We start from the raw sequence: 13,164 nt of genomic DNA, 5'->3' as shown, positions 1-13,164 counted from the left end.
TCATTATCTCATCATAGATGGTGTTGGCCTGATAAAATTCTATATTCTCCCCAGGTTCTGTCTTCTGAAACTTCAACAATTCATTCAAAAGTTCAAGACATGTACGCTGAAAACTTTTATAGTGTTGAAATTAAAGAACACCTAAATTAATGGGAAGACATCCAGTGCTCAAAGATAGAAAAACTTAATAATGTTAAGACGGTAATACTCTTCAAAGTGATCTATGAATTCAATGGAAATTCTATCAAAATGTCAGTTGACTCCTTTATAGAAATTAACAACATAATACTTAAATTTATATGGAAACTCAAGAAACACAGAATAGTCAAAACAATCATGATAAAGGAGAACGAATTTGGAGGGCTCATAATTCCTGACTTCAAAGGCTACAGGAAGCAGGACATATGATGCCCTGCTTATTGGCATAATGATAGACATATAAATCAATAAAATATAACTGAGAGTCTTGAAATGAGTTCTCATATTTACAATAAATCAAGTTTTGACAAGGGTGCTGAGACAATTCAAGGAGAAAATAATAGTCTTTTCAACAAATGGTGCTAGAACAACTGAATATCCACATTTAAACAAACTTGAGCCTCAATCTCACACCATATGCAAAAGTTAACTCAAAATGAATAAAGATCTAAATACCAGTGTTTACATTATACAAATATTAGAAGAAAACATAGGGGTAAATCATAGGGCAATGGTTTCTTAGACAACAAAAGAAAAAAATAGATACATTGGACTTCATCAAAATTAAGATTTTTTAATGCTTCAAAGGACACTATTAAGAAAGTGAAAAGAGGCCAGACGTGGTGGCTCATGCCTGTAATCCCAGCACTTTGGGAGGCCAAGGCGGGCAGATCACCTGAGGTCAGGAGTTTGAGACCAGCCTGACCAACATGGAGAAACCCCATTTTTGTACTAAAAATACAAAAATTAGCTGGGTATGGTAGCACATGCCTGTAATCCCAGCTACTCAGGAGGCTGAGGCAGGAGAATTGCTTGAACCCAGGAGGCAAAAGGTTGCGATGAGCCGAGATGGTGCCATTGCACTCCAGCCTGGGCAACAAGAGTGAAACTCCATCTCAAAAAAGAAAGTGAAAAGAAAATTCAAATAATGAGAGATGATATATACATAAACTATATATTGGACAAGGGACTTATATCTGAAATGTACCTAAAATATGTAAAGAATGCTTGCAACTCAATGATAAGAAGACAAATCACCCAAATGAAAAAATAGTCAAATGATTTGAATAGACACTTCTGAAAGAAGATATACAAATGGTCTATAGGTTCATGAAAAGATGTTTAACATTAGTCACCAGAAAAATGCAAATCTAAACCACAATAGGATACTACCAGTGTCCATGAGGACATAGAGAAATTTAACCCTTATAAACTGCTGGTGGGAATGTAAAATGGTGCAGACACTCTGGAAAATAGTCTCGCAGTTCCTCAAAAAGTTATACCTAGAGTTGCTATTTGACCTAGCAATTCCACTCCTAGGTATACACCCAAGAGAAATGAAAGCACATGTCCACACAAAAACTTGTATTAGGATGTTTACAGCCGCAGTATTCACAAAAGCCAAAATATAGAAATAACCCAAATATCCATCAACTGATTAATAAACAAAATGTGATTTTGTTTATAAAACCATGTGATTGAATATTATTCAGCCATAAAAAGGATTGAAGGACTGATACATGCTACAACATGGATGGACCTTGAAAACATGCTAAGGGAAAGAAGCCAATCACGAAAGACTGCATATTGTATGATTCCATTTATATTAAATGTGCAGAATAGGCAAATCTATAGAGACAGAAAGTATATTAGTAATGGCCTAGAGCTGATGGGAATGGGGATTTAGGGGTTATGGATAAAGAATACATGATTTCTTCACGGGGTTATGAACGGGGTCTAAAACTGATTGTCCTGATGGTTACACACTCTGTGCGTATACTAAAACCACCTAATTGTACCTTTTAAATGGGGAAATTGTCTGGCATATAAATTATATCTCAATACAGCCTTTATAATCAGGGATGTGCTAGATGGATAAGGTATGTTCCAAACTAGCCATGGCTGATAATACTGAGTTACTAGCTCTTGATAGGGCTGTAATGTATGATTTTGCAAATTGTATACTCTGCAACTACAGGAAACACCATTTTATGGACTACGATGTAAATGGTGCCCCCTGAAGTTGTGCAGTGTACAATATATACAGCCTTAAGCTTCAGCTCTGGCACTTAGGAGAAAAATTCTGAGGCTGATCATTATGGGTGACCAAAGCTCATTTCCAAGAATTCAAAAGAAAGCTAGTTTTCAAGTAAGTGGCACAGAAAGTAATTTTCCCCACACAGCTCTTTAACTCAGCATTCAGGCAACCATTATGCTCCCTATCTTTTATTCTTTTTATCCTTTTGGGGCTTTTTGGCTTTCATCTTAAATAATGTATAATTAGCACAGCATCAAAGGATATTTTACAAGTAAGTAGGTGTACCCATAATCCCCCATCCTGAACACAATTGCTTTTATTTCTCTAGATCTCCTTTCAATCTTTATTCATATGTGCATATACTTTGTTACATAGCTGTAATTATAGTGTATATGCAGTTTGGTTCCCCTTTTACCATTATTTTATAAACACTGATCTATGTTGCTGTATAGTTTTGCATTTATTGTTTTAATGGATGTATAACATTCTTTCTAGTTAATGTACCATAATGCACTCAATCTTCTCATTCCCTGAATGCAAGACAATTAGTGCAATTACACAACAGCCACAATATGGAAATGCCTACATGCAAGGACTCTGATCTATTTTTTTCTTTTCTGCAAAGCTCTTATCATCATCTGTGCATATGACCTCATTTACTTAGTTATTTTTATTATTATCAATTGGTCCTATTTTGAACTTAATCAAGAAGAGCAAGGCCCCTTGTCTCATTTGTTCACTGATGTATCCCAGATCCTAGAATAGTAACTAGCATATAATAGATGCTCAATGAATATTTGTCAAATAAATGAACATTAAATCATTTTCTCAGGCTCAATTCCTAGCAGAGAACTGTCTTAGTCAAAGAGCATAAATCTTGGGTTTTCAGCAAGAAATTGTAGGAGAATTTTTTCTAACTCTGTACTGTCCAATTGGACGTTCAACTAGAGTCAAGAACACATGATTCTGGAGAGAGTATTTGGGTCTTTCACCTACAGCTCTGTGGTCCACATTCAGCACCCTAGTTTTTTGTACGCAATGCCCACATCTTGAAAAGATTAAATTGGTTGGTTGAAAGAGAAAACGACTCTTTCTCTATTGAACATGAGAGTTTGAACTAAGGCCAGGCTGATAGCAGATGTATCATATGTCATTTAAAAGCCATCTTTGAAAAACAGACCCTCTTTTTCATGGGAATAGGCTCAGCACCAATCACAGGAACCATACATATTGCAGTTCCAATATTTTTTGGGTTGACAAGTCATCTAAACTCCAGAAGAATTTTCATGAAGAAGTGGACCTTAGCACATAATTTGGATACCTGAGCACAGGTCCATTCTTTGGAGGAAAATGGTGATGTATCTACCAAAAAAGGGTCTTACCCCCACTCCATACTGTGACCCCACTCTTACACTTGCCATGTTTTCTATCACAAGGAAACACAGGGACTCCATGTGATCTGGAAACTGGCATGAGATGTCAGTAGAATTAGAGAAGGAGCACTGGATGAGGAATGAAAAGCATCGGCATTACTGGGCCATTACTATTTGCCACAGCCTTCCATCCTTTGTTGTTCAATGCAACCCTATGAAGTAGGAATTATTTTTGTACCTATTTTAAAATTGAAGAAACTAAGGAACAGAGAGTTGAGGTACCTTGTCTAAGGTCACAGGGCGAGTGCAAGAACAGGGATTCAAACCTAGGTTTGACTTACTTCAAAGTTGTGCTTTTTCTGTGGTAGCATTAAGAGATCATAATGCCACTCATAGGAGTGACCCTGAATAGCTTAAAGACTATGAGCATTTCCCTTTTCTCTTGGGGGCCTCAGTTCTCTTTCTATACAATGAGGAAGTTGGACTAGGTGATTTGCTAAATGCTCTTTTTGGTATCTAGTCCCATTTGATTATCAAAATATCCTATGATAGAAATTGGGCAACTCTTATTTTCAAAATCTCCATTTTATAAATGAACAAATGGGGGTTCAGAGAGGTTTTGTGTCTCGTGTATAGTCACGTAACTAGTTTCTGGGAGAGTCAGAGTGAACCCAGGTTCCTGAACTTCTAGATTGAAGCATCAGAGGCCACCTGGCCCACATTATATCACTCTCTTTTTATTTCTTCTCTTCATTGTGGGAAAATTCCCCATTTTCACAAACTAGAGTTCACATTAATAAAATGTTTATACATTGCAGTATGATTTATAACCCTCATGTACTTTCTCTTAATCTGAGTGTGTCATCAGTTAGAGGTTTGTTCTTGTTCCAGTGATGAAATAACTAATTAAGTCACACCTTGTCCCAAGGGGTTTTGATGGGAAGAAGTGATTTCTAAAATGTATTGAGAACCTACCATGTATATTAGACCCTGGACATCATTTCAGTATCTTCCAGGCTTTTTCAATAAGGAGAATCTCTGGAGAACTTGTTAAAAACACACATTCCTGCAATCTACCAAGAACTATAAATTTGGAATAAGAATATGAGTTTGTTGGGAGGCCGAGGCAGGTGGATCACCTGAGGTCAGGAGTGCAAGACTAGCCTGGGCAACACGGTGAAACCCCGTCTCTACTCAAAATACAAAAATTAGCTGGGCGTGGTGGCACGCACCTGTAATCCCAGCTACTCCAGAAGCTAAGGCAGGAGAATTGCTTGAACCTGGGAGGCAGATGTTGCAGTGAGCCGAGATCACGCCACTCCAACCTGTGCAACAGAGCGAGACTCTGTCTAAAAAAAAAAAAAAAAAAAAAAGAATATGAGTTTGTGAGTTTGTAAGATGTACCCACACACAATGCATCCTCATGATGAGCTAGGGCTGATTTTTAATTAGTATGGCTGACCAGTTGTCTTTTTTACCAGAATACATTCTGATTGATTGGAGCCCATGCCGTACCAGTTATCATGTTTTCTGAATATCAGCCAGTAAGGTAGGGATCAAATATATTCATTTGACAGAAGAGGAACTAAGGTCCCAAGTGGCTCAATAGCTTGCTCCACATCACACATATTAAGCAGGTAGCAGGGGGAGGGCCATGCTCATTTTCAAACTGCAGTAAATAGTCACTGCCAAAGAGAGAAGGCCATGTGGTATGTATCAATTAGAGCTTTCCAAAGAAACAGAACTAATAAGAAATATGTACATAAATAGATTTATTTTAAGGAATTAGCTCACATGATTGTGATGGCTGGCAAATTCAAAGTCTAAAAGGCAGGCCAGTAGGCTGGAAACTCAGGCAGAATTTCTATGTCACAGCCTCAAAGCACAATTCCTTCTTTCTGAAGAAACCTCAGTTTTTACTCTTAAGGTGTTCAACTGATAGAATCAGGCTCATGTACATTATCAAGGGTAATTTCCTTTACCTAAAGTCAACTGACAGCAAATATTAATCACATCTGCAAAAACCCTCCATAGCAAGGTCTAGACTAGTATCTGACAAACAGCTGGGCACCAAAGTACAGTAGTCCCCCTGCTTATCTACAATTTCACTTTCTGTGGTTTCCATGTTCTGAAAATATTAAATGGAAAATTCCAGAAATAAACAATTCATAAGTTTTTAATTGTGGGTCATTCTGAGTAGTGTGATGAAATTTCTTGCCATCCCACTCCATGCCGCCCAGGCCATGAATCATCCCTTTCACACTGACTGCCCATTAGTCACTTAGTAACTGGCTTGGTTATTAGATGACTATTGTGGTATTAGAGTGCTTATACTCAAGTCACCCCTATTTTACTTAGTAATGGCCCCAAAGTAAAAGAGTAGTGATGCTAGCAATTTGGACATGCCAAAGAAAAGCCATAAAATGCTTTTTTAAGTGAAAATGTGAAAGTTTTTCACTTAACGAACAAAAGAAAAACTGTATGCTGAGGTTGCTAAGATCTAGAGTAACAGCAAATCTTCTATCTGTGAAATTGTGAAAAAGGAGAAAGAAATTCATTTAGTTCTGTTGTCCTGTCCCACCTCAAACTGCAAACATGATGGCCATAATGTTTCACAAGTGCTTAGTTAAGGTAGAAAAGACATTACATTTGTGGGTGAAGGACATGAACAGAAACATGTTCCAATTGATGGCAAATGAGTTGAAGTACTAACTGCTGTTTCAGGCATCTACTGGGGGTCTTGAACATATCCCCTGAGTATAAGTGATGACTACTGTATAGCCAAATTGACACATAAAATTAACAATCACAGGGTGTTTGAGGGAGTGGAATGATCTGGGACAGCATGGATTTGAGCTCCATAGACAAATTCTGCTGTCCCCTCACTAAACTGCTGGCCCTATCCCTATTTATTTGGGCTTTTCTATATATCCAGGCTGCCATGGCTGGAACCTTGAGACTTAGTGACTCAGCCAGATTTAAAATGCAGTGGCTGTTATACTGGACTGTATACTGTTACTAGAAAGGCAACTGCTAAGATTAGGAGCAAAGAGACAGATCAAAGTCCTGCTTCTAAAAGACCTAAAAAATATGAGATTCCCTGTCTTCATCACATCTCTGTCATCCAACAGTTTCCTCATTTGTAAAATGTAGATAATAGTCATATCTGCCTCTTAGGGGTTTCATAATGATGAAATGGAATTTATATATATAAAGTGCTTAGAACAGAACCTCGCATGTAATAAACACTACATAGATGTCAGATTTTTTTTTGTTGTTGTTGTTATCATTAGCAGCATCCTAGATATAGCCCTCTATAGAAGTATAAGTTCAGCAAGTTTGTGTTCAAGGACCTCTTTAGACATTGGCCTATTCATGAGCTCCAGTGGCAGCACCTACAGGTAGCTTCAAGGGCTTTAGCTCTATTCCTCCATATCAGCATTAGCTACCCTCAATAAATATATCAGATGGGTAAAAAAGGTGTGATGGCCACATTAAAACAGCACAAATAAGTCGTCTAGCCTATGCCCACTTCCTACTGCTCTTTCCACCCTATTACCAACCTCTGATAAAGCTTGGAATCTCCAAAGCCGGCCACCCGATGTCTACACATAACTGGACCTCCCCTCACTCCACATAAACTGGACCTCCCCTCACCAAAACTCTATGAATTAAGAAACATTATCCTTAGGAAACTGAGGCCCAAATAATAAAAGGGATTTGACCAAGGTCACAGTTCTAATAAATGGAAGAGAAGGGATTTGAACCCAGATATATGACTTCACGGCCGTGCTCTGACCACCAAACCACATGAACTCATCCTAAGATGCTCATGGATTCAAATGGCTTAACTCCTTTCTTTTTTTTCTTTTTTCTTTTCTTTCTTTTTTTTTTTTTTTTTGAGACAGAGTCTTGCTCTGTCACCTAGATTGGAGTGCAGTGATGCGATCTCAGCTCACTGCAACCTCTGCCTCCTGGGTTCAAGCAATTCTCTGCCTCAGCCTCCCAAGTAGCTGGGATTATAGGCACCTGCCACCATGCCCAGCTAATTTTTTGTATTTTTAGTAGAGATGGGGTTTCACCATCTTGGCCAGGCTGGTCTTGAACTCCTGACCTCGTGATCCATCTGCCTCAGCCTCCCAAAGTGCTGGGATTACAGGTGTGAGCCACTGCACCCAGCCTAACTCCTTTCTTACAAAGAATTTGTGGGCCAGGCACAGTAGCTCACACCTATAATCCTAGTACTTTGAGAGGCTGAGGCAAGAAGATGGCTTGAGCCCAGGAGTTAAGACCAGACTGGGCAACATAGCGAGACTGTGGCAGGCCAGGTCTCACTAATGTAGGCCTCCATTACAACTGTCCCAGCACTGAGTGAGTAGCTAAGTTAAACATTAAAAGCTGATTGAGCCAGTGCTCTTATACAAAGGCTGGAATGTAACAAATAGCCCACCAAGAGTTTTCCCTAGGCTTTTCCTGGGCCTTGAAGCATGACAAACTAATGAAGGAATTCTTAACAGGACCCTTTTAGGATTAAACAAGTGTTTTATTGTGAGTCTGAAGAAACTCCCCAGGCCTCCACAAACAAGTTTATTGGGGTCTAAAGGAACTCCCCAAACCTTTATGATTTAGCAGGAGACAAGATAAGGGTAATCACCCTAGCATCTAGACCCATTTAGATTAAGTAAACTTATTGAGCCTCCAGAAGAAGGTCTTCAGGACTCAGACCTTAGTTATAGATTAAAAGAAGTTAATCACTTATGTCTTTAGACGAATGCACACTTACAGGTAGACCTACAGCTTAGAAGGTATGTAAGCTCTGGAAAACGTTGTACTTTTGAGTTGATCTGGCAATAATTTCCAGGCCTTCTCCCTGTAACTGGTTGCAGAAATAAAAACTCTCTTCCTCCCCAGTTCGTCTGCATCTCGTTATTGGGCCACGAGAAATAGCAGCCTGACCCTCAGTTTGGCTTGGAAACAAGATCACATCTCCGTTTTTTTGTTTTTTTTTTAAAAAAGGAATTTGTGCCAGGCATGGTGGCTTAGGCCTGTAATCCTAGCACTTTGGAAGGCTGAGGCAGGAGGATTGCTTGAGCCCACGAGTTTGAGACCAGCCTGGGCAACATGGTGAAACCTCATCTCTACTACAAATACAAAAATTAGCCAGGCGTGGTGGTGCCGGCCTGTAGTCCCAGCTACTCAAGAGGCTGAAGTGGGAGAATCACCTGAGCCCAGGAAGTCAAGGCTGTAGTGAGCTGTGATGGCACCACTGCACTTCAGCCTGGGTGATAGGAGTAAGACCCTGCCTCAAAATAAAAAAAAAAAAGAATTTGCATTTTAAAAGAGGAGTCATGTAGATGCAGAAGGCATCTTTTAATTAAACTGTGGCTTGTTTAAGATATGGAAAGAATCATGATAAGGTGGATTCAAAAAATAGACAAAAAAAGGATGACCTCAAGAATTTGACAGTTACTTTGATCTTTATCATAAATAATTTTAGCATATGTTCTTGGTAATGTCATACATAAATTCATTTATAAAAGTTTAAATGTTTAGGCAGTGGGAGGAGATTTGGAGGCGGGAGGTCTTTTAAGGGTGCCCTTGAAGCATACGGTTATATAAAGCCTAGACCTTAGACTTAAGGTGGTCATTGTACTGACAAACCATCTTGGGGGAGGCAGAATATAAAGGAAATTTCCTTATAGCCCGTGGCTTGGGAGAGGAGTGATAGCAGATACTACAGGAGATTCTAGTGTTAAGGTTCGTCTCTGTAATGTTCTTTCTAGGCACGTACTCTGTCAGTCTGCAAAGAACTCGAAAGTACTTTGAATTACTTCGGGACTTGCCATATCTTAGCTAAGCTGTCAATGTGGAAAATCACAAAGTAATTACGAGTGCTTTCACTGTCCTTCTAAATTAGGCAATAAATAGGATGAATCACTGAATGAGACATCAGTACTTTCCAAGCTCTCTGCAGCATACTGAGAAAGGTAATTATTGAATGAAAAGCAAAGAGCCACCCAAGCAGACGTAGCCTCAAAGAGTGTGTATGAAAAGGAGGGGCTTTAGAACACATACTAGCTTTAAAGTGTTGGCATTTTACAGATCAAGAAACATAACAAAATATTCTCAATATCCAAATACAGCTATAAAAAAGTCCCTCATAACTACCTTCCACTGCCCCAGTCAAACACAGCTTCTGGGAAGCCTTTGCCAATACTGAAGATCCTACAAAGAAGCCAGCTACCAGTCTTAGTCAGATCTCACTGCCATAACAAAATACCATAGACTAGATGGCTTAAACAACAGAAATCTATTTTCTCACAGTTCTAGAGTCTGTAAGTTTGAGATCAGGGTGCCAGGATGATTGAGTTCCCGGTGAGGACTCTATTCCTGACTTGCAGATGGCCTGTCCTCTGTGCTCATACAAGGGAGCTCTCCCGCTTTCTCTCATATATATATATATATATATATATATATATATATATATATATATATATTTAAGACAGGGTCTTGCTCTGTTGTCCAGGCTGGAGTGCAATGGCACAATCATGGCTCACTGCAGCCTCAAACTCCTGGGCTCAAGCGATCCTCTTCTTCAGCCTACCAAGTAGCTGGGACCACAGGCATGCACCACAATACCTGGCTAATTTTTTTCTATTTTTTGTAAAGACAGGGTCTGGCTATGTTGCCAGACTGGTCTAAAACTCCTGGGCTCAAGTGATCCTCCCCCCTCAGCCTCCTAAAGTGCTAGGATTATGTGCATGAGCTATGCACATAATATGCATATGCATATGCACATATGCAACTATGCCCAGCCATTCTCTCTTCTTTAAGGACACTAATCTCATCATGAAGACCTCACCTTCATGACCTAATCTAAAACTAATCACTTCTCAAAGACCTAATCTCCAAATATAATCACACTAGGGGTTAGAGCTTCGATTTATGAATTTGAGTGGGACACACATATCCAATCCATAACACAGCCCTTCTCATTTACCAGACCAAAAGCACCACCAAAAATAATAGCATTGAACAGTTGGGGGTCTCTCTTTGCAGTGAAAAATAGACTCACATGCAAACCTCATTTTTATCACACTGCCTACCTGTTCAGAAATTTCAAATTGTTCCTTTGCCTGTCAAATCAAGTCAAGTTCTCCAATTCCTCAACTTTTGTAATGAGATGTTTCATGATCTATTTCACTCCTATTTCCCATCTAAAAAATTCCTTTAGGGGATTCATTACCTTTCCATGGAGTTGAAATTTGGCACTTTTAACAATTTGCAGTTTGAACTATATAAGTGCAATGTCAGTGTTCTACTTCAGGTGGTAGTTTGCAATTTTTCTGAAACACAGATTTGATTTAGCATCATTGTGGAAGCTGGTGTGCAGGACTCAGACTCGCAGCTAGTCAAGGCATCTAATTTGCCCTTTAGTATCCACACCATGATATAGCTCTACTGCTCTTCCCAGCATTCATTGACATAAGTATCACCATCTCCATTTTACAAATGAGGCAATTAAATAAATTAAATATGATGTGTTCACTCAACAAACATTTATAGAGTGCCTGTTCTGGAAATTGAGGATACAGCAGTGGACAAAACAGCTACTCTGGAACTTCTATTCTTAAGGGGGAAATAGTCAAGTAATACAATAAATAAAATAGTTGCAGTGAAGAAGTGCTTTATGAAAATCCAATGTCTAAAATCTTAAAAGAAATAAAAGGATGAGAAAATGACAAGGTGAACAAAGACAAAATTACAATTTCAGCCCAAAGCAAATCAGATACCAGAGATGCAAACTGTTAGACTACTTCACACAAAAGCACCCAGTGCAATGAAGCAACTCTTGAGGTGATGTTGTTGAAGTATATTTAATGAAACAGAATATAAAACCCTATTAAACATAGCTTTTACAAAAATGTTTTATGGTTTTAAAATACACACATGAAAATAAGATTGGAAATATATTCATTGAACAATTATTTTTTATCATGTACTATGTGTAAAATACTATTCTAGTCACATTGAGGATATAGTGGTGAACAAGAAAGACAAGATCCCTGCCCTCAGAGAGCTGAAATTTCAGTGGTAAAAGGAAAACAAACAAGTGAACAAATATAGGGATTACATAATAGGAAGTGGTAAGTTCTCTGAAGGTAATAGAACAAAGCGATGGAAAGGGTTAAGTTACTTTAGATTAAGTTGTCTGAAAAGGACTATCTGAGGAAGTGGCATTTGAGCTGAGACCTAAATTAAAAAAAAAAGTGGGCAGTCATGCAAAGATCTTAGAGAAGAGCATCCCAGAAAGACAGCACAGCAAATGCAAATCTCAAAGGAGTAATTGCATTTGCCTTACCCTAAGAACTGAAAGACGATGCATGGGGCTGATGATACAAGTGAGGGATAAGGATGTGATATTAGTTTGGAGAGAGAGGCACGGCTCAGATCATGTAGGATTTTGTAGGCCATCATGAGGAGTTGGTTTTGTTTTAAGTAAAATGAGAAACCCACTCAGAGTTTTTTGTTTGTTTGTTTGTTTGTTTTTTTGTTTTTTTGAGACAGCAGTCTCGCTCTGTCACCCAGGCTGGAGTGCAGTGGCGTGATCTCCGCTCACTGCAAGCTCTGCCTCCCGGGTTCACGCCATTCTCCTGCCTTAGCCTCCCGAGTAGTTGGGACTGCAGGTGCCCGCCACCATGCCCGGCCAACTTTTTGTATTTTAGTAGAGACGGGGTTTCACCATGTTAACCAGGATGGTCTCGATCTCATGGCCTCGTGATCCGCCCACCTCGGCCTCCCAAAGTGCTGGGATTACAGGTGTGAGCCACCCTGCCTGGCCCCCACTCAGAGGGTTTAAGTAAGGGAGTGATATAATCTTATTGAGGGTTTTTATGACCACTCCAGTTGCTATGTAGAGAATGGTTTGTAAGAAGGGCTACACAGAAGAAGCAACGTGGGCAGTAAAGAATCTACTGCAGGAGTTCTGGTCCTGAGTAAGATAGAGTGAGCTTGCTTCACCCTGTCTGCCCCCCGAACACAACTATCAAACCAGGACAGAATACATGGGCAGCTATTTGAGGCGTCTGAAAGGTAAACAGTAGCAAGACAGAGAAGGAAAGAACACCAGTAGTAGAATTACCAGTGTATCAGCAGTGAGTTTACTTTTTATTTTACCCCTTTTCCCTTTAATATTGCCTATCCTGAACTCAGCACAGACCAAAATGCAGAAGTGGGCACCAGTATAGACAGACAGCTCCAGGAGAAGCCCTCTAGTACTGTCTCGAGGGCCAAAAATGGTAGCTCCTAATGCTCAGAGAGAGTGCAGAACTCCCATTTTTCCCCCTCTTTCTTTTTTGTTCTCTCATGCCTCAGACCCCAGGAAATCTTGTAGTATAAATGACAAAACCTCAAGAACCAAACCTCGGAGGGAAGGGAGCCAATCCTGTCCATTTGATGGAGCTGTGGTCCTAAGAGGGTGGGGGTAAACATATGTTAACCTTTTCCTCTCTCTGCCCTTCCTTTCTTGGGCCAGGAAATGAGCCCAATCACAAA

Source organism: Homo sapiens, chromosome X (assembly GCF_000001405.40).
Source record: "Homo sapiens chromosome X, GRCh38.p14 Primary Assembly".
In the NCBI taxonomy this organism is placed as follows: domain Eukaryota; kingdom Metazoa; phylum Chordata; class Mammalia; order Primates; family Hominidae; genus Homo; species Homo sapiens.
This window is presented reverse-complemented; position numbering follows the sequence as displayed.